Source organism: Homo sapiens, chromosome 11 (genome assembly GCF_000001405.40).
Source record: "Homo sapiens chromosome 11, GRCh38.p14 Primary Assembly".
NCBI lineage: Eukaryota > Metazoa > Chordata > Mammalia > Primates > Hominidae > Homo > Homo sapiens.
The window spans coordinates 119,575,985-119,602,532 of record NC_000011.10 but is presented as its reverse complement, the minus strand read 5'-3'; the positions used below and the strand labels follow the sequence as shown (position 1 = coordinate 119,602,532).

Here is a 26,548-nt window from a genome sequence, read left to right as displayed (position 1 = left end):
GATCATTTGAGGCCAGGAGTTTAAGACCAGGCTGAGCAATATAGCGAAACCCCATCTCTACAAAAAATACAAAAATGAGCCAGGTGTGGTGGTGTGCACCTGTAGCCCCAGCTACTCAGGAGGGAGAGGCTGAGGCACAAGAATCACTTGAACCTGGGAGGCAGAGGTTGCAGTGAGCTGAGATTGTGCCACTGCACTCCAGCCTGGGCGACAGAGCAAGACCCTGTTTCAAAAACAAACAAACAAGCAACAACAACAACAATAATAGTAATAATAGCCTCCCTGTTTTTTTAAAAGCCCGTTCTGTCTGACCTTGAGACATCTGTGTTTTCCCTATTGCAGTAACCCTCCCCTCTTATTGCAATTGTCTTCACATAGTCTCTCTCACCTCTTTCACCTAAGTCCTGATTTGCTCTTTGTTTGACACCAGCCAGGAACAAGAACCCTTCCCCACTGAAATCGCCTCTCACAGGCCATCTACCCTCAGTGGCCTCCACTTGGTCCCTTAGGTGACGTATCAGCTCTGCAGGTAACCAGGTTCACTGATAGGTTAATGAGCTCCCCTCTATGCCCCTAACCAGCTTCATGACTCTCCCGTTTCTCAGGGCTTACTGGTTAGTAACAAAAACAAGCTTATCTTTCTTGAATTTTCATGCTGTGCCATGCACTGTGCTGAGCACTTCCCAGGCATTTTCTCAACCCTTGGGAGCTCAGCACTGTTATTGTTCCCATTTCTCTGATATGGAAATTCATTCTGCTCAGCTGCAGAACGGCAGCTCCATGGGTCTACCCCACCAGCCCTACAGTATATGATCACTTCCTTGCCTCATCGATTCCTTGTGAGGGTTAATGGCATAGCGTGAAGGTTCAAGAAAGATAGCCTTGCCCATGCCATCATCATCAATCGCTTATATGGCAGGTCCTTAGAACAGTGTCTGGCACCCAGTTGATGCCTTATAAGCGATCGTTCTTACTATTACCACTATGATAATCACATGGGTTGTTAGTAGGTTGCATTGTCACTAAGATGATGATGGCATGAGCCACTATGTGAAAAAGGTTCAGCAGTGCTGGGTTAAGTAAGTTGTCTAAAGTCATACAATGTGTCCACTTGTAATCTTGTAGTGTGCCATACAATTCACTTCTGTATTACCCAGTTTATTTACTATCTTCATTGCTTATTGGCCCCGTTGCTAGAATGTGAGCTCTGCAGGGCAGGGATCTCTGTTTTGTTCACTGCTCTATCCCTAATGCCTGGATAGGTCCTGGAACATAGAGGGTGCACAATAAATATTGTCAAGTGAATGCATGGATGAATAAAAGAATTCTAAGGCTTGTGCTCCTTACCATTGCACTCTAAGGCAGCCTTCTGGTCCTAGACCTGCAGTTTCCTTTGAAAGTCAAAGTCAGCCTAAACCATTCCTGATGGGGAAGATGAAAAAAGCACTGTCTCCCTAGCCCATGAATAATCCCTTTACTTAGATAGGGAACTCGTGGGTTTCTGGAAAACTTTCACATGCATCACCTGGTTGGAGCCACTGGGTGTTCCTATTTCCATTTTACAGAAGGAGAAACTGAGGTGCAGAGACCTGCTTGGGTCCTTCCCTAAGAGCCTTTCTGCCGCCCAGCCCTAGCCCAGCCTGGGGCCAGCCTCCGGCACAGTCCTCACCCCCGTGGGCCACAGAGCAGACAGAGTCCCGCTTCCCTTTCTGCTCCACTAATTATCCTTTTAACTCGCACTGGTGTATTTTTGCCGCACGATCTGCAGTTTTATTTTTATCCACCTCTCGGTAATGGTATTGGGGCCGTTACTCAGGGAGGCTCCTGGAACCGAGCTGCTCCCCAATTTACAATTGCAATTATGAACTCTGACAGAAACACATGCAGCTGGCATCAATTTTAAGCAATATTTTGATCATAATAATTAAAAAAGTAACTTATGGCGTGCACGCATTAGATAAATTAATGTTACTCCAAAGCTCTGCTAAAAGCCATGCAAGGAAGAGAGAAGCGAAAAAGGAAATGGTGCCCCAGATCTCTCAGGGGCCTGGGAGTCTTGTCTCCAGCACGACTCACTCTCTGGGCTTACAAATTAACTTTCACATTGAGTTTAATATCTGCATGTCCTGCAGGTTGAATGCTGCCTGTTCCCATCCTCCCCGCAACACACATGTAAATTTTATGGTTTATTAATGTATTCGGGTATAAACAAGCACATTTCCTTGTCACTGTTCCCCAGACCGGCTACAGGCAGCTGAAAGGATGTTCACATCTCTCTCGAACATGCTGCTCTAGACCCAAATGGGAGCAGGCTCTGAGGGCTTGGGTGGGATGGGGGAATGGCAAGGACTTCTGATGTCTTTTCCCAGCACACACAGGCTATAAACAGACCTGCAGCCATGCACTGTCACTCATGCCCAGGCACCACTACACACACACACACACCCCAAATCAACGTGCCCCAGGCACATGATTCATAACCACATACACCTCACACTCCATCCACAGACAACATCACATAATTGACACACATATTTATATACATCTGCCCTCTTACACATGACCCATAATCACAGAACATGCATCCCACACTTCTGTTCACATGCACATATGCACACACATTAATACACAGGCGCTCCCATGCACAAACGTACCCGTCCCCAGATACACAATTTATCACCATTGACATCCTTACACTTTCACTTACAGACTCACATACCTGCACACACATACACACATACAGACATTGGTTTATAGGCACATACACAACTCTTTGCTCACAGACACAATTCATTACAAACAAGACCCACACACATAGTCACACAATGAAACTCACAAATATGTGCACACACACACATTGATACACACACTCTCTCATACACACTCCCCTCTTTCTGCACAGGCAGGACGCTCACCGCAGAGCAGGCCAGGCCACAGGGCAGCATCAGTAGCTTTTTAACTTTTGAGGGGCCCTCACGCTGATGGCTGCTCCCCACAGCCATGCTGTTTGTGTCTGCAGAAACACAAACGTTCATACACCATCCCAAGGGCTTCGTCCTTTATGAAATCCACCCAGGTCCGAAGCTTGTCCCTTGATCTGGGGTCCCAGGCAGTCCCATCCCTACCCATAGCGGGGTGAGTGCACCAATGTCTGGGGGTAGAGGGGGTAAAGGAGGAAGTCCCATTGGCTTTTAGTAGTGGTTTACTTTTATTTATTATGATGAGCATCACTATTTTTGGTAAATGGTTTAAAACTCTATTTTTTTAATATAAAAAAGATGTTTGACCAGGCGCAGTGGCTCATGCCTGTAATCCCAGCACTTTGAGAGGCTGAGGCAGGCGGATCACAGGGTCAAGAGATCGAGACCATCCTGGCTAACATGGTGAAACCCTGTCTCTACTAAAAATACAAAAAATTAGCTGGGCATGGTGGCACGTGCCTGTAGTCCCAGCTACTCGGGAGGCTGAGGCAGGAGGATCGCTTGATCCCAGGAGGCAGAGGTTGCAGTGAGCTGAGATCATGCCACTGCACTCCAGCCTGGCAACAGGGCAAGAGTTTGTCTCAAAAATATATATATATTTAAATTCTTAAAAAAAGCACTGCTCCTATCTCCTACCCACTAGCTGGCAGGCCTATGGCCTGCAATATGGCAGAGTTGAGATTCCAGGTCTCTGAGTCAGATGCTGGGATTCAAATCCTGGCTGCAACACTCACTGATGAGTGGGCTTGGAAAGGGCTTAGTTCCTGTTTCCTCACTAATTCCTCACCTATTTCATAGGGTTGTCCTCAGGACCAAATAAGATAAGAAGCTGAGCACATTGCTCGGCCTGGGGCATGAGCCTAGTACATCTCATTTGCAGCTGTTTTTGTCCTGACATCCCCTTCAACCCTGTGCTTTCTCCCCATCTGTACCAGACTCTCCCTTCTCTTGTCTCCCTGTCTGACTCTTCCCCTGCCTCCCCAGCCCTCCACCTGGGGGTGCTCAGCCCCTGTACCCTCTGCTCTCCTCACTCTACACACCTCTTTCAGGGGCAACATCCACTCCGATCACCTACCACAGTGGTTTGGGCAAAAAATGAGAGTTTTGATATGTGACCACTGGGTAAGTTCTTGGGAGCCTCAGTTTCCCCTTTGGTAAAATGGAGATAAGTCTGCCTCTCCCACAAAGCTGAATGAGGCTGGGCCCGAGAAAGGCTGCAAAGCCTGAGAAACATGTCAGTTGTCACAGTGGACTCTGGCCCGTCACCTCGAACTTCTCCTCTAGATCAGCTGTTTCTCTTCCCTCCCAATTCGCAGGAAGTCCTTTCTACTTGCGGATCCTTCCCTCTGCCCCTACACACTTTCAAACCCCATCCTTGGTTCCCCCAATCCCACTCCTTGTGTTCCTATTTCTCCCCACATCTCCATCCTTCTCCCACACACAAAGCCTCCACCACCTTGGACTCTTCCCTCCATCTCTCTCCTCCAGCCACCAACAAGTTCTTTTCCTTCAACTTCAAAACCTTCTTTCACCCTTCCCTTCTTTCCCTCTCCACTCTCCACTGCCACCACCCAAGGCCATCACTGGTTTGCTGCAAAGTCACGGCCCCAGCTTCTCCCATGGGCCCATCCTGCTTGTGGCCAGGGCAGCTTGCTTTTTCAGGCACACCTTTCATCCCACGGTGCCAGCCTCACAGGGGAAGTCCAGATCCCTCTGCCTGGCTTTCTGTCTCCCCCAAAATCCACCTCATCTTTCACTGTGTGAGCAGAGTACAGGGGGAGGGGGTAGCATTTTACCCAACCAGAGCAACGGACATACTAAACACACCTACATCAGAGCATCCCTGAACCCTTGTTCTTTGCGACCTCCTCATCACAGAAAGCCCCCTCCCTCCCGCTGCCCATTTAACTCTCATCCAAGCTCACCACTCAGCTCAAGAAAGCCCCACTCACGAAGGCTTCTCCAGCCCACAGAAATCTCTCCCTCCTCTGACGTTATCATCAGGCCTGGGATTTTTTTCTCCTTAAAACATTTTTATTATGAAAGATGACATCCAAATACATACAACATCATAGCAAAAAACATGTGCCCAACATTTTTTTAGTTCCACTTTTTAATTTTATGCATCCACAAGGTTTAAAGAGTTACATAATTCTACTGGGTTTGAAATTAAAAACAAAACACGACAGTAATCCCTTGCTTTCCAACCCCTCACCCACCCCAGGCAGAGGCAACCACTCCTTAGAGGCAACTATTTCAATGCTTTTAGCTGATTCTTTGGATATTTACCTCCAAATCTCTTTAAAATGTGCTTATGTTGCTATGTCTTTGTTATTCCATTTTTGGCATTATCTATTGACTTTCCATTAAATAGTATGAAGATTTGGCCATCTTCCCCCTCCTGCCATCACACACACACACACACACACACACACACACACACACACACACTCCTCCTCTCCATCCTGACGATTTGTGTATATTGCAATTTTTGTTAGATCAATATTTACATGATTGTGACGCTAAAGATGGCTTTCTGATACTAGATCCTTTGTAAGTGATTGCTTTTCCCTTGTCTTTCTCAGGAAACTTGTAGAATCTTCTCTTCATGATTTTGCACCTTGGTGTGAGCTATTTTTTCACCATGTTGGACACTTGGTAGGCATTTTCAGTCTGGAAACTCATGTTCTTCTGGCCTGGTACTTTTCTTGAGTTAGTTTACAACTTCCCCTCCTCTGTTTAGGTTTTCTTTCCTTCATATAGAGGACTTCCTGGACCACTCCACTAATTTTCTTATCTTTTCTATTTTCTATCTCTTTGTCTTCTTTGTTCTATGTATTAGTCTATTCTCATACTTCTATTAAGAACTGCCTGAGGGCTGGGTGCAGGGGCTCACGCCTGTAGTCACAGCACTTTGGGAGGCCGAAGCGGGCATATCACTTGAGGCCAGGAGTTCAAGACCAGCCTGGCCAAAGTGGCAAAATCCCATCTCTACTAAAAATACAAAAATTAGCTGGGCATGGTGGTGTGCACCTGTAATCACAGCTACTCAGGAGACTGAGGCAGGAGAATCCTGAACTCAGGAGGCAGAGGTTGCAGTGAGCTGAGATCGCACCATTGCACTCCAGCCTGGGTGACAGAGTGAGGCTCTGTCTAAAAAAAAAAAAAATTAAAAAAAAATTAACTACTTGAGACTGGGTAATTTATAAAGGAAAGAAGTTTAATTGACTCACAGTTCTGCATGGCTGGGGAGGCCTCAGGAAACTTACAATCATGGCAGAGGGTGAAGGGGAAGCAAAGCACCTTCTTCACAAGGTGCCAGGAGAGAGAAGTGCCAGCAGGGGAAATGCCAGACACTTATAAAACCATCAGATCTCGTGTGAGAACTCACTATCATGAGAACAGCATGGGGAAACCGCCCCTGTGATCCAATCACTTCCTACAAGGTCCCCCTCATGACATATGGGGATTGTGGGAACTACAATTCAAGATGAGATTTGGGTGGAGACACAGCCAAACCATATCATTCCACTTTCTGAGAGATTTGTTTGGGCTCAGGAAACAATACCCCAAAATGAAGGCCTCAGCAGCAGCCTCAGAAGCAAAAGCTCTTCTCTGATCTTCTCCTGCCCATTGTCTGTCAGTCCAGTTCTCCCTCAAGGCCAGCCACAGAAACAAGAATCCTTTTTCCCCAAAGCCAGCCATGAAACCTAAAAAGATTACTCTCATTTTCCCTTTGCCTTTCTGCATAAAAAACTGCGCATAAAGAAATTATCTGACCTACCTTGTTAGATTGAAGGTTGTGAGACCCCCTAATCCAGAGAGGGTCCCGATGCGCACACCCAACGGAAGGAAAGCATTCTCAGAGAGGCCGAGAAGAATCTGGACAGACAACCCTGCTGGGTTTCCCCACTCAGTCTATCAGCATTAGGTCAGACCCTCTTTCTTTCTATCGTATTTCTACATAGCTGTTCATACTCGTCTTTTGCATGTTAAATTTTCCTCAAAACTCCAGAAGTTCGAGGGCTTTGGCCCCCACATTTCCTAGACCTTATCCTCTAATGCTTCTACTGAAATTTTCAATTTCTCCTGTTATATTTTTAATTTCTAAGAGCTCTTTTTTGTTCTTTTATATAGCATCCATTTCTTATTTCATGCAATTATCTTCACTTATCTATCTAAAGATATTAATAATAGTTCTTCAGAAGTTTTCTTCTTCCTACATCGCACTTAGCACTGCTGAGTTGCTTATTGTCTTGTTTGTCTTGACTTTCCCGCATTATTAGCTCCTGTGTGAGAGTTGGGGACCGACTGTTAATTGGAAGCTCTTAGTGGGTGAGTGGGACCTGTCTGACCATGAGATCCCTGTAGGGTGAATGGCTATGTAGTTGGGGAACCTCTGATGTCTGTATCTTTAAATCTTTCCTCTTGAGCTAACCAGATTCCCCAGAAAAAAACTCTTCCAGTCTTTGGCTTAGAAAGTAAAGGCCTGACTGTCAGCATTCTCAGGAGAGGGATATGGAGGCGTCAGGCTCCTATATGCATAAGTTCATTTTGAAGAGACCAAAAACACAAAAGGAGAAACAGAAAGATATATGATCTGCATGTTCCTTATCTGACTAAAACACAGCTTTATGTGAGTCAGCGGCCACAACCCTGCCCCCCTCCCACCCTCCAGGGAGGTCAACTGACCTTGGACACTACGACATTCCAAAAAAATTGTGTAAAGAAACTTCATCAGAACCTCCCATACTTGAAGCCCTAACCCCTTCTTTTGTTAACCATGTATAAACCTTTTACTCTTGCTGTCCAGCAAGGCACTCACTACTGACTGCTCCTGCACATTTGTCTTTTCTCCTGTTAATCTGTCTAATGTCCATCCATTTGCAGGGCCCCAACTACACAGACCCAAGCTGGTAGAGAGGAAGTTTTTTCTTCCAACAGTTTCATCTCTTTCCCCTTTTTTTTTGTTAACATAGTATCTCTATCCTCAACCTGGTATCCCCCAATCCAGAGATCCCGTTTTACCATTTCCAAGAACAAACCTCAGTCTTCTGCCAGCATGGAGAAACAGCAATTATCCACTGCTATAGTTTACTCTTTTTTTCTTTTTTGAGACAGTCTCACTCTGTTGCCCAGGCTGGTGTGCAGTGGTGTGATCACAGCTCACTGTAGCCTTCATCTCCTGGGCTCAAGGGATCCTCCCACCTCAGCCTCCCAGGTAGCTAGGACTACAAGTGTACATCACCATGCCCAGCTAATTTTTTAATGTTTTGTAGAGAAGGGTCACACTGCCAGGCGCGGTGGCTCACGCCTGTAGTCCCAGCACTTTGTGAGGCTGAGGCAGGTGGATCACGAGGTCAGGAGTTCAAGGCCAGCCTGGCCAACATGGTGAAACCCTATCTCTACTAAAAATACACAAATTAGCTGAGCGTGGTGGCAGGTGCCTGTAATCCCACCTACTCAGGAGGCTGAGGCAGGAGAATTGCTTGAACCTGGGGGGCAGAGGTTGCAGTGAGCCAAGATTGCACCACTGCACTCCAGCCTGGGCGACAAAATAAGACTCTATCTAAAAAAAAAAAAAAAAAAAAAAAAAAAAAGAGAGAGAGAGAGAAGGGTCATACTATGTTGCCCAGGTTAGCCTCTAACTCTTGGCCTCAGGTGATTTTTCCTGCCTCTTATAAAACCTGACACTTATAAAACCATCAGATCTCATGAGAACTAACTCACTATCATGAGAACACCATGGGGGAAACCACCCCTCTGCTGAGGTTTAGCCTCCCAAAGTGCTGAGATTACAGGCACGAGCCATTGTGCCCAGCCACTGCTATGGTTTGAATCTGTTCCCCAAGTTTCACGTGTTGGAAACAGTCTTCAAATTTATATGTCAATTGGAGGTGGGGCCTTTGGGAGATTCTTAGGATTAAGTAAGATCATCAGAGTGAAACTCCTTCTTATAAAGCCACCAGTCCCATCAGGGAAAAGAGACCTGAACTGACATGTATGCTCCTGCCCTCTTGCCATGTGATGCCCTCCACCATGCTATGACACAGCAAGAAGGCCCTTGCAGAAACTGAGCAGATGATGACACCATGTTCTTGGACTTCCCAACCTCCAGAATTATAAAAAATAAATTTATTTTCTTTATAAATTACCCAGTCTCTGTTTTTGTTTGTTTGTTTGTTTGTGACAGCACCTCATTCTGTCACCCAGGCTGGAGTGCAGTGGTGCAGTCTTGGCTCACTGCCACCTCTACCTCCCAGGTTCAAGTGATTCTCCTGCCTAAGCCTCCCAATTAACTGGGATTACAGGTGTCTGCCACTACACCTGGCTAATTTTTGTATTTTTAGTAGAGACAGCGTTTCACCATGTTGGCCAGGCTGATCTCAAACTCCTGACCTCAAGTGATCTGCCTGCCTCAGCCTCCTAAAGTGCTGGGATTACAGGCATGAGCCACTGCACCCGGCCCAAGAGCTCCTTATTTAACTCCCTTCCTCACTCTACTTTCCAGCAACAGTAGTGTCACCAATGCCTGAGACTCTGGAGGGGTTTTGGAGAAAGGGGGTGGGAATTGGCTTTTTAGCTTTCCCCTCTTTCAGTTTGGGCTTCAGCTTTTCCCAGTCTACTCAGTTTACTCATTCATTGCTTTACAGTTTCCAAACTTGGGCTGCTGTTGTCTTCTCTCCCATTATTTCTGGCACAGGGCAAACCCCAAAATTGGGGCTCAGCCCGGGAGGCCACGTGGGTTCTTGGCTTTGTGCAGGAAGAAATTCAAGCACAGGAAGGAATTCAAGAGCAAGCAGAATAAAGTGAAAGCAAGTTTATTAAGAAAGTAAAGGAATAGGCTGGGCACGGTGGCTCACCCCTATAATCCCAGCACTTTGGGAAGCCGAGGCACGTGGATCACCTGAGGTCAGGAGTTCCAGACCAGCCTGGCCAACATGGAGAAACCCCATCTCTACTAAAAATACAAAAACTAGCAGGGCGTGGTGGCGTGCACCTGTAATCCCAGCTACTGGGGAGGCTGAGGCAGGAGAATCACTTGAACCCAGGAGGCGGAGGTTGCAGTGAGCCAAGATCGTGCCACTGCACTCCAGCCTGGGCAACAGAGCAAAACTCCATCTCAAAAAAAAAAAAAAGAAGAAAACTAAAGGAATAAAAGGTGGTTATTCCATAGGCAGAGCAGCCTTTGAGGGCTGTTGGCCGGCTATATTTATAGTTAATTCTTGATTATATGCTAAATATGGGGTTGATTATTCATGAGTTTTCCAGGAAAGGGGCAGAGATTTCCCAGAACTGAGGGTTCCTCCTTCTTTTAGACCATATAAGGTAACTTCTGGATGTGCGATGGCATTCGTAAACTGTCATGGCGCTAGTGAGAGTGCCTTTAGCATGCTAATGCATTGTAATTAGCATATAATGAGCAGTGAGGACAATCAGAGATTGCTTTTGTTGCCATCTTGGTTTTGGCAGGTTTTGACTGGCTTCTTTGCCACATCCTGTTTTATCAGCAGTGTCCTTGTGACCCGCATCTTGTAAAACAAGTCCTGCCGAATTTCTGTCTCATCTCCACCTTTATGGGTTTCTGATTTTTAAAAAATCCCTTTATAGTCACTTTAGGGTTTTCAAGAAGAGCAAGATGAATTGTGTGCATTCAATTCACCATCTTTACTGGAAGTCTCCATCTGCATTCCACCTTTGAACTGATGGGCTTATGCCTTTTAATAAAATCCTTTTACTGTTATTTCCATGGGCTTTGGGGAGTGTAAACTAATGAATGGGTTCAACTTGCCATCTTTAACTGGAACTGATTTGTTTGTTATTAAACTTTGCTCTAGACATAAATGTCTATCTCCCCACTTACAGCACTTACTGTGGTGAGCTTCTTAAGAAGAATTTTTTGTTTTTTTGTTTTTTGCCTCAAAAGCCAGCACAACGGCTGGATACTAAAGACTTATGACTGGGCCTAGGTTTTCATGTTATTTAAACTACCTTCCCTTCTCCTCCACAAATGTGCATTCAACAAATATTTACCAAATATTTAGTAAGCATCTACTGTTTGTCAGGTAATATTCAGGCCCCAGGCACACAGCAGAAGTCAAGTCCGACTGAGTTGATGCTCACATGGAACTTGCATTCAGCTCTGTTAAAATATTCTCTAGGAGCTTATTACTTCTCAAGGCAGCCCACCCTATCAGCTCCTGCTGAAAACTGGTTTCCCATTACTTTCGCTCATTGGTCCAAATTCCTCCTGGCAGAGGCTCCCTCTTCTGTAGGATAGACCTCCAGTTAAGTAAAGATGATCTGTGATTCTGTTTTCTTCATACTTTCCTTCAACCACTCATACAGTTCCGGCGCCTCCTCCCACAATGAAGTCACGAAACACTCAGGATGCTCCCCCATTCTCTTCCTTCTTCTCTGTGAGTAGGAAAGTGGGATAAAGTCAAAAATAATATATTTAGTCTTTGTCCCAGGTTCCTGGCACAGAGCTTCAAAAACCCTCAGAAGTTTGAATGACAGGAATGTCTTTTGTTATTCATAATGAGCCCTTTTCAGCCACACCTGAGTTTATGCTAATGAGATGACTCACAGCAGATCCCCTAGACAGTTTCAGAACAGAGGCTGGTTCTCAGGAAAACCAACCAAGGGATTAAAGAGTTGGAACTTTCAGCCCCTCCCCTCTCCCTTCCACCTCCAGGAAAAGATGGAGATGGAGTCCAGTCACATGGCCAATGATTAAATCAATCATGCTTACATAATGAAACCTCAACAGAAACTCTGAACAACAAGGCTTGGAGAACTTCCTGGTTGGTAAACATACTAATATTGGCATACCAGAAGGGTGGCACACCCTGACTCCAACAGAAGCTTTTGTGCTTGGGACTCTTCCAGACCTTGCTGTGTGTGCATGTTCATCAGGCTGTTTATTTGTATCTTTTACAATAAAATGGTAATTGTAAATATAATGCTTCCAGTGAGTTCTCTGAGTCATTCTTTATCAACCCAAAATGAGGGTGTAGAGGAACCCCCGAATTTATAGCTGGGCAGGCAGAAGTGTGAGTGGCTTGAGGACACCCAGGACTTGTAGTTGGTACCTGAAGTGGGCAGTCTTGCGGGACTAAGCCCCTTAACCTGTGGGATTTGTGCTAACGCCAGGTAGCTGATGTCAGAATTGAATTGGATTGAATTGAATTGAATTGAATTGAATTGAATTGAATTGAATTGAATTGAATTGAATTGAGTGACATCCAGTCGGTGTCAGGGGACTGGTGTGGGAAGGCAGAAAGGGAGCCTGCTGTGATGCTCGGCACCCCAATATCTTTCCCTCTTGGCCTCATGCTCTCTGCCCAGCCAAAGAGAACTCAATTTACCCTTGGAGCACCATTGTTTGATGGGATGGGCCTAGGGCTCTGAAAACAGCTTCCTTCCTTCTCCAATTGTGTGTACTGCAATCTGTTTCCCATTATTTCCCATTATTTCTCTGTTTGAAGGAAGGTTTACTTATCATCTCCAATGACTGTAAAACCCATCAGAGTTGTCTTGGCTCCTGTGAAATGTCCAGCAAATATGGGCATTCAGGGGATGCTCAGTAATGGTGCTTGGCATGTGTTAGCTTGGCATGCATTAATTTGCCCTTTGAAGAGATCCTGCCCCTCCTCCACCCTCCTTCCCTCCTGCAGACTCCCATGAAAGCTTTCATGAGTGCTCAGAGGGTCCTCACTGGAATGAGTCCTAGAGGCCCAAGTCTAACTTTTGTTGGATTGGGAGGAACCCACGTGGATACATATCACAACTTCAGTTTTTGTTGGTTGTTTTTGAGGCTGTTGTTTTGGTTTACCATGGAACATGCACCTGTATGTGCAGGGGTGGGGGTGGTTTGATGAGTGATATGGATGCTGAGGTGTCTGGCCAGGCATCCCACTTCCTGCAAGACAGGAGTAGGAATAACAACTCACATCTGCACATCCCTCTACAGACTATCAAGTTCCTTCCCACACCAAAGAGCATCCTCCCAACCTGTGTTTGTCTGTAACCCTAACCAATATCCCAGTTTTACAGATGGGAAAAATAAGGCTAAACAAAATTAGGTAACAGCTAGCAAATGAAGAGATCTCAGGTCTTCTGACTGCAGATCTCTTGAGCTTTCCGTTCCACCATTCTGTGACCCACCTGAAGGCAGAAGGAATCACAGTGGGTAGGCAGAGAGAAAGGTGCAGGATCCTTCTTTCCCTGTCATCTCCCTTCTGTCCCTCACACTGTAGCTCTTGCCTCACTGGCTCCAATGCACAGAGCCAATTATGTGCCTCTGCCAAGCACACTCCAGCTGTGGGGTGGGAATGGCAGAGAAGAGCCAGAGACTAAAAAGCATGTGCACCCATTAGCCAGCAGTCCACAGCATTGGGTTGGGAGGGGGAACAGCTGGCATTGGCTGCAACAATACCCTCTTTCCTTAGTTTTAGCCCTTTCCAAGCTTCTGCCCCTTGCAATTTGCTCTCCAAAATTGCCCCAACCAAGAGAGGCCACTTTTAGGCTGATTCAGAAAAAGACCAAGAGTGGGCTTACTCAGTCCTTTCTGGACAAGGGGGAACTGACAAAGCTCCTTTCAGGAATCTCTGGGCCTGACTCTCTAATCTTTTTTTTTTTTTTTTTTTTTTTTTTTTTGAGACAGAGTCTTGCTCTGTGGCCCATGCTGGAGTGCAGTGGCGTGATCTCTGCTCACTGCAACCTCTGCTTCTTGGGTTAAAGAAATTCTCCTGCCTCAGCCTCCTGAGTAGCTAGGATTACAGGTGTGTGCCACCACACCTGGCTAATTTTTTTGTTTGCTTTGTTTTTTTTTTTTCTTTTTGAGACAGAGTCTCATTCTGTCACCCAGGCTGGAGTGCAGTGGCGCAATCTTGGCTCACTGCAACCTCTGCCTCCCGAGTTCAAGCGATTCTTCTGCCTCAACTTCCTGAGTAGCTGGGATTACAGGCGTGCACCACCACGCCCAGCTAATTTTTGTAATTTAAGTAGAGACGGGGTTTTACTGTGTTGCCCAGCTGGTCTTGAACTCCTGGCCTCAAGTGATCTGCCCACCTCGGCCTCCCAAAGTGCTGGGATTACAGGTGTGAGCCACTGCTCCTGGCCAGATCCCCTAATCTTAACCCTTGTGTCCAGCCCATCAACCTGGAGCAGGAAGTGGAAGGAGGGAAGGGCACTGGGACCACTTTCTTTGCTTTGGGCTCGTCCTACTGCCAGAGGCTCAGCAGGGCCACCATATCTGATGGCAGAGTAAGTGCTTATAACTTAGTGCTAACGTCAGGGGCTCTGAGACCAAGTGCTATCAACATTGATCTTATTTTTACCAGAGAAGAAAGTCCAGAGTTAGATATAAAAAGTCTTACATTATTTAAATATGAATATCATCTTTGTCTGTTTTGTGCTGCTCCCACAGAATACCTCAGACTGGGTAATTTATAGTGAATAGAAATTTACTGGCTTATGGTTCTGGAGGCTGGGAAGTCCAAGACTGAGGGGGTGGCGTCTGGTAAGCCCTTGCTGCACCATAGCATGGCAGAAGGCATCACATGGGTGAGCGAGAGAGAGCGGGAGAGACAGAGAGAGGAGGTGGGGGAGAGAGAGGGGGGAGGAAGAGGGTGAAGACAGAGAGAAGGGCTAACCTCTTTTTATAAGGAACCCATTCCTGAGACAATGGCCAATGGCATTAATCCATTCATGAAGGCAGACCCCTCATGGCTAACCACCTCTTAAAGATCCTGCCTCTTTCTTTTTCTTTCTTTCTTTCTTTTTTTTTTTTTTTTTTTTTTGAGACAGAGTCTTGCTCTGTCACCCCAGCTGGAGTGCAATGGCATGATTTTAGCTCACTACAACCTCCGCCTCCCAGTTTCAAGTGATTCTTCTGCCTCAGCCTTCCAAGTAGCTGGGATTACAGGCACACATCACCACATCCAGCTAATTTTTGTATTTTTAGTAGAGGTGGGGTTTCACCATGTTGGCCAGGCTGGTCTCGAACTCCTGACCTCATGATCTGCCCATCTCACCCTCCCAAAGTGCTGAGATTACCGGTGTGAGCCACCATGCCCAGCCTCTTTTTCTGTTTTTTTAGAGACGAGGTCTCACTCTGTTGCCCAGGCTGGGGTACAATGGCACAATTATAACTCACTGCAGCCTCAAACTTCTAGGCTCAAGCCATCTTCCCACCTCAGTCTCAGCCTCCCGAGTAGCTGGCACCAACTACCTGCTAATAGCCATACTACAAACACCCAGCTAATTTTTTATGTTTTTACTTTTTGGAGATGGGGTCTCATTATGTTGCCCAGGCTGGTCTCAAACTCCTGGCCTTAAGCGATTTTCCCACCTCAGCCTCCTAAATAGCTGGAATTACAGGATGAACCACCGTATTAAGAGGCTCGCCTCTTAATATGGTTACAATAGCAATTATGCCTCCAACACATGCTTTTGGGAGGGACACATTCAAACCATAGCAAATACCTTCTGAAAAGTTGACCTGAACATTTACATAAGCTGTCACCCGGGAACTTATCTTCTAATGCAGGTGTAAATGACTATTAGAGATACTTTGCTGAAAACTTGGTGAAGAAGCAGAGAGCATGAGGATGTTAAGCCCCTTTAGAGAGTAGAGAAGGTGTGGCACGGGAAGGGAGAGCTAGCTAGGATACTGAGGAAAGGCTGAGTCTTCTTCACACAGCTTGGTGAAGGTTTCCTCGGCACCCAGATCCCAGCCTCTTTCTTGCAATGGATCAAGATGACTTGGTGACATTCTCTGCCACCCTAACTTCCATCTGATCATATTTTCCCCGCCTACACCATGTTTTAAGCTTAAGGAATAGTTTTAAGTGGATTCCTGCCCGCTCCCTCCAGCTTTCTCATTCTAGGGCCCCCCCTGGCTTTTTTTTTTTCCTGGGGTGGGGGAGGCGGTTGAGACCTGCTTAATTTATTCCAATGACACAACCGTGATCCCAAAGTGTGCAAAGTTAAAGCCTTCAATTGCAGCTGAGCAGAGGGCAGGAATGGTACACCTGGGGATGGTGGTGAGTCAGGAATGACAGGCAGGCGGCCATGACCAGGGCAGCCTCCTCCCCACATGGCCAGGGACAGGGGAGTGGCCTGAGGAGCAGGACCCAAGGGTAGCCCCGGGCTGGGGAAGGGGGCAGAGACCTCCCCTTGGCCTAGGGCCACTTTGATGGCCCTGTTCCGTGTGGCATGGGTGGGGGGGGCGATTCATCCGCTACTGTATGTGAAGAAGCTGGGAAGGTGGGCTTGGTGAAGGAGTAGTAAGTGTCACCTGGGCTGGGAGCTAAAGAGTAGATATTTTCTGATTTGAGAAGACATCTGAATGAGACCAGATGGAAAAGGCATCCATCTCTTGATTTGTACAGGTGAATTACCCACACTGCGGCTTCACTGGGGGCAAATTATCCACATTCATGTTGAGAGCATCCTCCCTTCTGTTTGTCCTATACTTTCAAGAACTCAGAAGAACCCACACAATCTCAAACAGTTCATGGAGTAAAAGGCAGTCAGTTCTAAGGGAAGCTGGCGCACCCATCGGGCTGTCCTTGGCATGGGTAGTAACATTAAGCAGGCTGATGGGAAGGAAGGTGGGGACCCCTTAAATTCTCCTATATTAACCCTCCAAAGGAGGTTCTTCATTCCAGCCTTTTGAGAGCCTGAGTCTGGGATCACTCAGGTTTATCCCGGGTCAGTCCTTCCAACACCTCTTCATCTCAAGTAGCTTGGATTAGCCACTTCAACACCCCACTGAGTTGGCTTCAAGCAATAATCTGGACAATGAAGAGAGGATCAGGGCCACTCCACAGCCTAGAAAGTGTGGTTTCTGGGCCCTACCCAGCTTCAGGGCCTAAAAGCCACTCTTAGCTCTTCCCAAGATATCTCCAGAATCAGAATGAGAGAGCTGCATGGAAGCGACCCCAGGCCCTGTGCGGTGTGGTCAGAGTCCAAGGCCAGGGCGCTTGCCCCAGTCACATAAATGGTTAGCAAAAGCCAGGGTGCGGCCCTAGTCCCACCCTCCCCCAGCCCCGAGGGGTCCTTCCAGAACTGCCACCTGAACAGGTGGCTGCTCCGGTGCTGAACCCCTGCCGAGCTGCGGGTGACCTTGGACATCCACCAAAGTCCCTGCGGCGGGGGGCGGGGTCCGCCCGAGCTCTAGCTCGGTATAGGGGGCTGCCGCAGCCTGATCACGTCTCCGCCTCCCTGACTGGGCTGGCTCGTCGCCTGCTGCTCCCTGGCAGCTGTCTGCCGCTGCCGGGAAGGTGATTGCCATGTTTGCAGCTCCTTTCCTTGTTTGGAAAGATCTGGAGGCAGGTGAGGCTGCCGGGAAAGCGCGACTGACAGGTTGTGATCTGCAGGTTTCGGCGCCGGGCTCCGAGCTCCAGGCAGTCTGGGGAAGGCTGTCCGTCTGCTGCGGGCTGCGTTCTGCCTCTGCGCCCCGTACGTGCCCCCTCTCGCGGACCGGGTGCCGGCCTTTTCCTCTGGGCCCCGCAGGCCCCCCACAGCCACCAGACCCCAGCCAGGGTCGCCTGGCCCTCCCTCTGGACCCGAGAGACCCCTAAACAAACCCCCAGCCCCACGAGCCGCCCTCCTCCACGGGCAGTCCTTCCCGGTGTCTGACTCAAATCTCCGGCTCTGGCACGACGCCGCGTCTCTGTAGGAAGGAGCATTGTGCGGTCGTGCCGGTTCCTTCCCGCGCACTTGGAGGGACCCACCTAGCAATCAGTCACGCTGGCATTTTTCTCCGAGCCGACAAGGCAATTTGTGAGGAGCAGGGCTTTCTCGCCGGCTGGATGCTAAGTGGGAGCAGAGGAGGTGGGCGTGGGGGGCGTTCTAAAGAGATACCCAAATTAAACATCCAATCTGCCATGTCCTGTGTCACTCAAGGCGATTCATTTTCTCCCTGGCTCCCGCTGGGGCGGCTCCCAGAAGCGCCAGGACGTGGAGCTGCGGTCGTTGGCGGCGCGTCGCCTCCTCCGCGGAGAACAAACGGACGTCCCGCGGCCCCCGCCCCACCGCAGCTCTAAGAGCCTGCGCCCCTGAGCTCCGCCGCGCGGAGCCGCGGAAGAGGGAATCGGAGGACACAATGGGCAGGAGGAGGGGCTTGGGGGTTTCTAGGCGCCCCCCCTCTTCCATTATCTGCCTCAATAACTCAGCAGGAGGTTGGGCCGGAAGCTGAGGGTTTGTGCGTGGCTGAGTTTGCACATTCCAGAACCTAGAAGTGGCTCCCATACTGCCTTCTAGGCCCCGCGTGCTGCTCTGCTCTGAGTTGGAGTCCTCCTCCAACCATCCAACTAGTGCCCAAGCCTGCCATTCCTGCATTCAGGCCAAGGAGGAGGGGCTAGGGGCTCAGAGGATGCAACTCTCACCCTTGCAAATGGCATTTTTTTTTTTTCTGAGACAGAGTCTCACACTGTCACCCAGGCTGGAGTGCAGTGGTGCAATCTTGGCTCACTGCAACCTCTGCCTCCTGGATTCAAGCCATTCTCCTGCCTCAGTCTCTCGAGTAGCTGGGATTACAGATGCATGCCACCACGCCCGGCTAATTTTTGTATTTTTAATACAGATGGGGGTTCATAATGTTGGCCAGGCTGGTCTTGAACTCCTGACCTCAGATGATCCACTCGCCTCAGCTTCCCAAAGTGCTGAGATTACAGGCGTGAGCCACCACACCCTGCCTGCAAATGGCTTTTTGATGAACCCCATGTGTGCAGTGTTGCTCCCCAAGGTCCCAAGTTTCTCTGGAGAACATCCCCACTCAGCCAGGAGGAGGCGCTCTGTCCAGGTTTGGAGAGGTGAAAACATTTCCCAGTGGAAAACCAAAGATGAGTTGGCCTCAGAAGACCAGGGAGGAGAGAGAAAGGAGGCAGATCCCAGGAGTCCTGACTCCCAGTTCCCGAGGGCTCACAGCTGGCTAATGGCTACTGCAACTGGGTTACCTGCAGCTCACCTCCCAGGTCCCACCTCTCCCCAGGTCTAAGATCAAAAGCCCTGGCTCTCTAGAGCTCATCCTGTCCAACCTTGCTGCATCCAGAGCAACCCTCCACTAGACAGGCTGCCAGCACCTGAGCAAGAGAAGAGGGGCAGGGAAACATGAGAAAAGACGAAGCATGAGGCTGGGTTTCCTTTAAGATTGCAGTTTGGGCGCAGTGGCTCATGTCTCTAATCCCAGCACTTTGGGAGACCAAGGCGGGTGGATCACGAGATCAGGAGATCGAGACCATCCTGGCCAACATGGTGAAACCCCATCTCTACTAAAAATACAAAAATTAGCTGGGCGTGGTGGCATGCACCTGTAGTCCCAGCTACTCAGGAGGCTGAGGCAGGAGAATCGCTTGAAACCGGGAGGTGGAGGTTGCAGTGAGCTGAGATTGCACCACTGCACTCCAGCCTGGCGAAAGAGCGAGACTCCATCTCAAAAAAAAAAATAGATCTCGGTTTGTGCCCAGGTAAGAGAAGGAGCAGACACCACATTAGATTCTGGGCTCCTTCACCCAGAATGGCAGCAACATATCTTTGGCTCTATACATCTTGTGCTGGCTTCTAGTCTCGTCTCTGACACTAGTTTTCTCTGTGAATTGTAGGAGACCAAAATATGACTGTAGGGGACCAGAATATACCACCCTAGCATATGCCTCTCTGGCATAAGGATTATTTTGAGTTAATTATTTTGAGAATCTGCAGACACAGGAGAAACTGAAAACAGAGTAGAAGTTACCCTTTCATATGGGAAATTTACATTTACAAAGGAAATCTCCCTTTGTAAGGATGTCTCCCTCTCTGTACCAGGAAGAGAAGGATGTCTCCAAATCACTAGAGACTTATCAATGGATAAGCACTGACTTTAATATGCATAGCAAACCTTACCCTTGTTTACTGTGCTTTTCCTGGTCACCTCCCCATAACTGGCCTCCCTCATACCCTTCTTTCTTCGTTTCAGCTGAAGATGGTATTTCAGCCTGAATTCTAAACCACTTCCTTGAGATGTACTCCTTTTTCCCTGGGCATCTCCCATGTGTACATGAGGTATAGAGGTTAATAAACTTCTGTTTGTTTTTCTCTTGTTAATCTGTCTTTTGTTACAGGTGTTCCAGCCAATGAACCTAAGAAAGGTGGAAGGAAAAGGTATTTTTCCTCCTCTACAGAATCTGGATGACCCAGGGGCTCCTGTCTTCCTTAGTTTCCTATTTCTAAACAAGGACTTTGAATATTGATGCCTGAGCGTTTTTTCCAAATTCTTTTCTCACTGAACTCCCTCTGAGCCCTTGCCTCATGGTGTGGGGCAGTAGAGAACATGGTGAGAAAAGAAAAATAGCTCAGAGCGGTCTAAGCCCTGCAAAACTGATCAGGCCCTGAGAGACAGGAGTTTGGGAATTCAGTCATACACATCCCTCCTCATACTCCACCCAGGCCCAGGAGCAATTGTTCAAAGGGATTCTGTTCCTGACTAGCTGCCTCACCCATTATCTTCAGGTTCCTAAATTTGTGATACAAAGAATAGCAAATGACGAATGAACAGCTTATGTTGTTGTTATTATTATTATTACTTGTTTTTTAGAGACAGGGTCTCACTCTGTTGTCCAGGCTGGAGGGTAGTAGCATGATCATTGCTTACTGAAGCCTCAACCTCCTCTACTCAAGCAATCCTCCTGCCTCAGCCTCTGGAGTAGCTGGGACTACAGCCAGGTACTACCATACCCAGGTAATTTTTTTTTTTAAGACCCAATCTCACTCTGTCACCCAGGCTGCAGCACAGAGACACGATCTTGGCTCATCAAAACCTCTGCCTCCCAGATTCAAGCAATTCTTGTGCCTCAGCCTCCCCAGTAGCTGAGATTACAGGCGTGTGCTACCACGCCTGGCTAATTTTTTGTATTTTTAGTGGAGACAGGGTTTTTGACATGTTGCCCAGGCTGGCCTTGCTCTCCTAGGCTCAAGCAATCCACCAGCCTCAGCCTCTCAAAGTGCTGGGATTACAGGTGTGAGACACTGTGCCTGGCCTTTTTTTTTTTTTTTTTTTTTTTTTTTTTTTATAGAGACAGGGGTCTCACTCTGTTGCCCAGCTTATCTTAGTGTAGATTCTTGGTAAACAACCTGTGAACTGCCTCTTCTTTTCTTTTGAAAACCCACTTGTAACTGCTGCTAATTAAGCTTATATTCAGGGCAACTTAAATCTATGCTCCCTGATTGCAGTCTTCGAACTTGGTGCAAACAAACTCTCTTCTTATATTAATTTTCCCTCAGTTTTTACCTTTAGGGCAACAATGGGGAAGAGAATCCTTGAGGTCAATGACACCAGGACAGCTCAGTTGCAAATTCCTTGTCCCTTCATCCTTAGAAATGCGCCAGTAACCTCTCTGTGCCTACTCGGGCTTGGGAGCCTGCCTGATTTAAAAAAGAAGGAGAAGGAGAAGGAGATGAAGAAGGAGAAGGAAGAGGAAGAAAGAAGAGAAAGAAAGAAGAGGAAGAGGAGGAGGAAGAAGAAGAGAAAGAAGAGGAGAAGGAGGAAGAAGGAGGAGGAGGAGGAGGAGGAGAAGAAGAAGGAGAAGGAGAAGGGAAGAAGGAAGAAGAAGAAACAACTTGTCAGACTGAGAGACCTGACTTTTGCTTTGGAAAATTGGTCCTGGAAGTTCAGAGCATTTACTGTAAACCTCTCCTGGGTGATCAGCGAGGAGTTGGGAGCCTCTTGCTCCCAGCATGTATGTTGACTCCAAGGGAGGTGGTGAGTTGCTTAAGGCTGGTGGTGGCTAATCAGGCCCAGAGACAAGGCACCCTGTCTCCCAGGCCAGATGCTTCTTCTACAGTGTTGTAACTGCAATAGGTCCATGGCCTGATGCATTCAGCAAGTCACCATGTAATTGCCCAGTGGGTTCTTTCTGCCTGCTGCACAGACAAAACCCATTCACTGATACTGTGGTATTATAGTAAAGAATTTAATTAATGATAGGCCAGCCACATGGGAGAACTGGAGATTGCTCAAATCAATCTCCTTGAAGGCTTGGAGGTTAGAATTGTTCAAGGATAGTTTGGTGGGCAGGGAACTAAGGAATGGGTGCTGCTGATTGGCCAGGGATGCAATCACAGTGGGAAACTGTCCTCATCCACTGTGTCTGCCTCTGTTTGGGGTGAGGGCACAGGACTGGTTGAGTCGTGAATCATTAAGTCCAGGTGGGCTCAGTTGGTTGCCAGAATGCAGAAGTCTGAGATACATCTCAGAAGACTAATCTTAGATTCTGGGATCGGTAGTGGTGGTATCTGTAGGAGCAATGGGGAAGTCACAAAACTTGTGACCTCTAGCCACAACAATTCCTTAGCAATAAGAGATGATGGAAACTATGCCCTACATTTTTTTTTGTTTTTTTTTGAGACGGAGTCTCACTCTGTCACCCAGGCTGGAGTACAGTGGTGCAATCTCAGCTCACTGCAACCTCCACCTCCCAGGTTCAAGTGATTCTCCTGCCTCAGCCTCCCAAGTAGCTGGGACTACAGGCATGAGCCACCATGCCCGGCTAATTTTTTTTTTTTTTGTATTTTTAGTACAGACAGGGTTTCACCCCGCTGGCCAGGCTGGTCTCAAACTCCTTACCTCGTAAACTGCTGCCTCAGCCTCCCAAAGTGATGGGATTACAGGCATGAGCCAACGTGCCCGGCCCCGCCCTACATTTAAGCAGAATTCAGGCCCCTTCTATATTTGTAATCTTGTGGCCTTCCATTGGTCTTACAAAGGCAGTTTCAGCCCCCTAACAAGGAGGGGATCAGTTTTAGAGAGGGACTATTATCATCCTTTCTTCAAAGTTAAACTGTAAACTAAATTCCTCCCATGGTTAGCTTGGCCTATGCCCAGGAATGAGTGAGGACAGCCAGCCTGGGGGGCTAGAAGCAAGAGGGAGTCAGCCTTGCTAGACTTCTCTCACTGTCATAATCTTTGCAAAGGCAATTTTAAATATGCCCAAGACACCAGACTGCAGCAGAGAAAGAGGTTTAATTGTAGGGCCACCAAACAAGGAGACAGGAGGAAACCTCAAATCCGACTCTCTGAGGAGTTTGGGGATAGTGTCTTTAAGGGTTTTGGAGTGTGCCAAAGTGTGGAGATTGTTGATTGGTCAAAGAGTGCAGGTTGGAGCCATAAGACAGGCAGGTGAAGAAACTGTATTCTCATATTGATTCTGTTCTTCTCTGGGGGTCTTCAAACTGGTTGGCATAAGCTGTCTTACTGGAATTGGGGATCTGAAAGACATTGTAAGCAATTTTTAAATGAGAGCCCTGTGATTCTAATGTCAGAGATCCTATCTAGCTTAAACAAAAGTCTTGTGGTTCTAACATCAGAAATCCTATCTATAGGAACCATGGGGATGCAAACGGCCAGTATCTATCTAGTCCTACCATGACTGTTGGTTACAAGGAAGCTGGTCAAAGTGCGGCCTGATTAATGCTTAATCATAACCATATTTCTGTTCAGAATTCTTGTTAACCCTGTGAAGACAGCTTCAATGTCACAGAGCTGCCTGTAGGAATGAACGCCTTACACTTCAGACCTGGCCCTCTTCACCTGCCCTTTCCATGCTGCCAACAGGGCCTTCCAGTGGCAGCGGTGACCAGTCACTGGGAAAGCCCAGCTGAGTCAATGTTTGCTGGCTAACTGCAGAAGGAATGATGAACTGGTCCCCATGAATGGAGAGGTCCAACACAAAGCTATGCTAATTTTTCATAAGCTCTGCCTGCCGCCTTTTATATATCAACCTGAAATGTAATTATCTTTATGGCTGGTGGAGTAAATCACCAGTATGTGTCAAAGAGATTTGCTTCTGTGTTTTATTACGTAATATATTAGCTCTACAGTTTTAAGATGTCATTACTTGGCTAATCGCATGAAACGTTTTTGTGAGCAAACAGTGATGCTGGCGGGAGCTGGGGCCAGAGACGCATGGCTAAATCCTTCAGAGAAATGCTGAGAGGCCTCGGGGGATCACCTTGTCCAACCCCCTGCCTCCAGGCTTAGAGAGCTCTAGACAGGCAGGAGTTCTGCACTATCTGAGGGGCTTTGAGAGGTAGAAGACAAAGAACAGCCAACGATGAATGGGGGACATCTGGATGACCCAACAATTTTTTTCCTGAGTGTATCCAACAGAAATGCATGCTATGGCCACCAAAGGACATGCACAAGAGTGTTCATAGTGGCTTATTCCTAATAGCAAAAAACTAGAAACAACCGAAATATCGTCAACAACTGAATGGAGAAAATAATTATGGCATATTTCCTGTAGTCCCCGTTACTTGGGAGGCTGAGGCAGGAGGATCCCTTGAGCCCAGGAGTTCAGGCCACTGCATTCCAGCCTGGGCAACAGAATGAGACCCCATCTCAAAAAATAGAATTATGGCATATTTATACAATGGAATACTACATAGCAATCAAAAAAGAAAAACCATCAATAATTGATGAACTATTGACGCATGGGTGACCCTCACAGACTTGATGTCCCCCTCCCTCTTGGAGACACAGCAGCTGTTTTGGTGGATTAGGTCACCTGATTCACCCACTTACTGGGCTCTTCCGGAGCTCCTGGAATGTCCTCCTTCTCCAGTCCCAGAGGCGGATCTGAATTTCTCAGGGTGAATTCCCTACAACATCCTCTTTAGGTTTATTCTCTCCTTTCTCCTCCACTACCTCCTCTAAATCAGCATCTTCATCAACAAACTCATTTTGTTTTTGCACCTAACAGTGGTGTGTGTTCAAACTTTCTTCTCTGGCTGTGAGTCTGGTGGACAAAGGCAGCATGGTGTAATAGAAATAACACAGGCACTGCAATGAAACCCACCTGGCTTTGAATCCTAGCTCTACTGCTTTTTGTTCTGTCATCTTAGATCACTTAAACTCAGTCAGCCTCAATTTCCACACCTGCAAAATGGAATATCTTCTTTGCAGTGGGAAGTGAGAAAACATGAGTTTTGTTTGTTTGTTTTGTTTTGTTTTTGTTTTTGTTTTGAGACAGTCTCACTCTGTCGACAGGCTGGAGTGCAGTGGCACAATTTCGGCTCATTGTAGACTCCGCCTCCCAGATTCAAGCAATCCTCCCACCTCAGCCTCCTCAGTAGCTGGGACTACAGGCGCACGCCGCTATGCCCAGCTAATTTTTGTACTTTTAGTAGAGATGGGGTTTCACCATGTTGGCTAGGCTGGTCTTGAACTCCTAGCCTCAAGTGATCCACCTGCCTCAGCCTCCCAAAGTGCATGGATTACAGAGGTGAGCACTGCGCCCCGCCAACATGAGCATTTTACTTGGTGCCTAACATGTTTTCTTGCATTATTCATACGATTATTCAACAAACATTAACTGAACTTCTACACTGTGCCAAAGACCATACTAGGAGCTGGCACACAACATTGTCACGGTCTATATTTGTGTTTTTGCAGACTTGGTATCTGAGATCTGAGGGTTCACATTCTGACTTCTCTTTTGGGAGCCACCCTTCCGTCACTTGCAGCTCAGGTGGTTCACCCTCCACCCTACCTGCTAGTTCAGGATAGTGCATCCCCCTGGCCACAGAGATTGGTTCTGGGATAGGCTCATATTCCAGATTGTTTCCATGAGATTCAGCCCTGGAACTTTGGCTGACGCTACTGAGAAAGAGGTGATCCTTTTCCATCAAGCATGATGAGCTGGTCAAATGGAGCCCTAGATCTGCTGAGAGATTTTCTTGCCACCTCTCTAGGAGAGTGTGCCTAAGGATAAAGACAATGAAGAAAGCTGGGCGACAAAGAAGGAAAGGTCCTCCATAGCCTCATTTGAGCACCCAGATCCAGCCACACAAGGACTGAATTGGGTTTCTGACATTCATAAATAAATAAAAATAATGCTGATTAATTTACTGTCCTAAAAATGACTAACATTCAATGAATTTTACTATGTGCCAGCCATTGTGCCAAATGCTTCACAGGCATCATCTCATTTAATCCTCACAATGACCTGATAAGATAGGTGCTGTGGGTTGAATAAGTGTCTTCCAAAAATTCTTGTCAACCCAGAACCTCACAGTGTGACCTTATTTGGAAATAGCGTTTTGCAGATGTAATTAGTTCAGATGAAGTCACACTGGATTAGGGTGAGCCCTAAACCCAGTGACGGGCCCACCATGGTGGCTCGCGCCTGTAATCCCAGCACTTTGGGAGGCCAAGGTGGGCTGATCACCTGAGGTCAGGAGTTCGAGACCAGCCTGGCCAACATGGTGAAACCCTGTCTCTACTAAAAATACAAAAAAATTAGCCAGGCGCAGTGGCAGGCACCTGTAATCCCAGCTACTCAGGAGGCTGAAGCAGGAGAATCACTTGAACCCGAGAGGCAGAGGTTATAGTGAGCCAAGTTAGCGCCATTGCACTCCACCCTAGGCAACAAGAAACCCTAGGCAACAAGAATCCCTAGGCAACAAGAGTTTCATACAACAACAACAACAAAATCCAGTGACTAGTGTCTTTCTTAGAAGAGGAGAGGACACAGAGCGATACAGAGAGCATAAGAGGGGATGTCTTGTAAAGATGG

The 26,548-nt window shown here is 47.4% G+C and overlaps 2 long non-coding RNA genes across 2 annotated transcripts, besides 1 other annotated feature; one reads left to right on the top strand and one right to left on the bottom strand.

The window, feature by feature from the left end:
• Window positions 16,411-17,225: an enhancer, noted in NCBI's record as "H3K27ac-H3K4me1 hESC enhancer chr11:119456019-119456834 (GRCh37/hg19 assembly coordinates)". NCBI's record gives its function as "activates a minimal SCP1, AML or CMV promoter by ChIP-STARR-seq in naive H9 embryonic stem cells {active_cell/tissue: H9 hESC(naive)}" and the evidence as "EXISTENCE:reporter gene assay evidence [ECO:0000049][PMID:30033119]".
• Window positions 19,384-23,809, top strand: LOC107984398 (uncharacterized). The gene is made up of 2 exons (XR_001748412.2): window positions 19,384-20,699; window positions 21,258-23,809. It is a non-coding gene; the product is annotated as an uncharacterized LOC107984398 (long non-coding RNA).
• Window positions 22,977-26,162, bottom strand: LOC124902770 (uncharacterized). The gene is made up of 2 exons (XR_007062918.1): window positions 25,523-26,162; window positions 22,977-23,240 (listed from the first exon to the last, which is right to left on the bottom strand). It is a non-coding gene; the product is annotated as an uncharacterized LOC124902770 (long non-coding RNA).
• Between the last annotated feature and the right edge of the window lie 386 nt (window positions 26,163-26,548).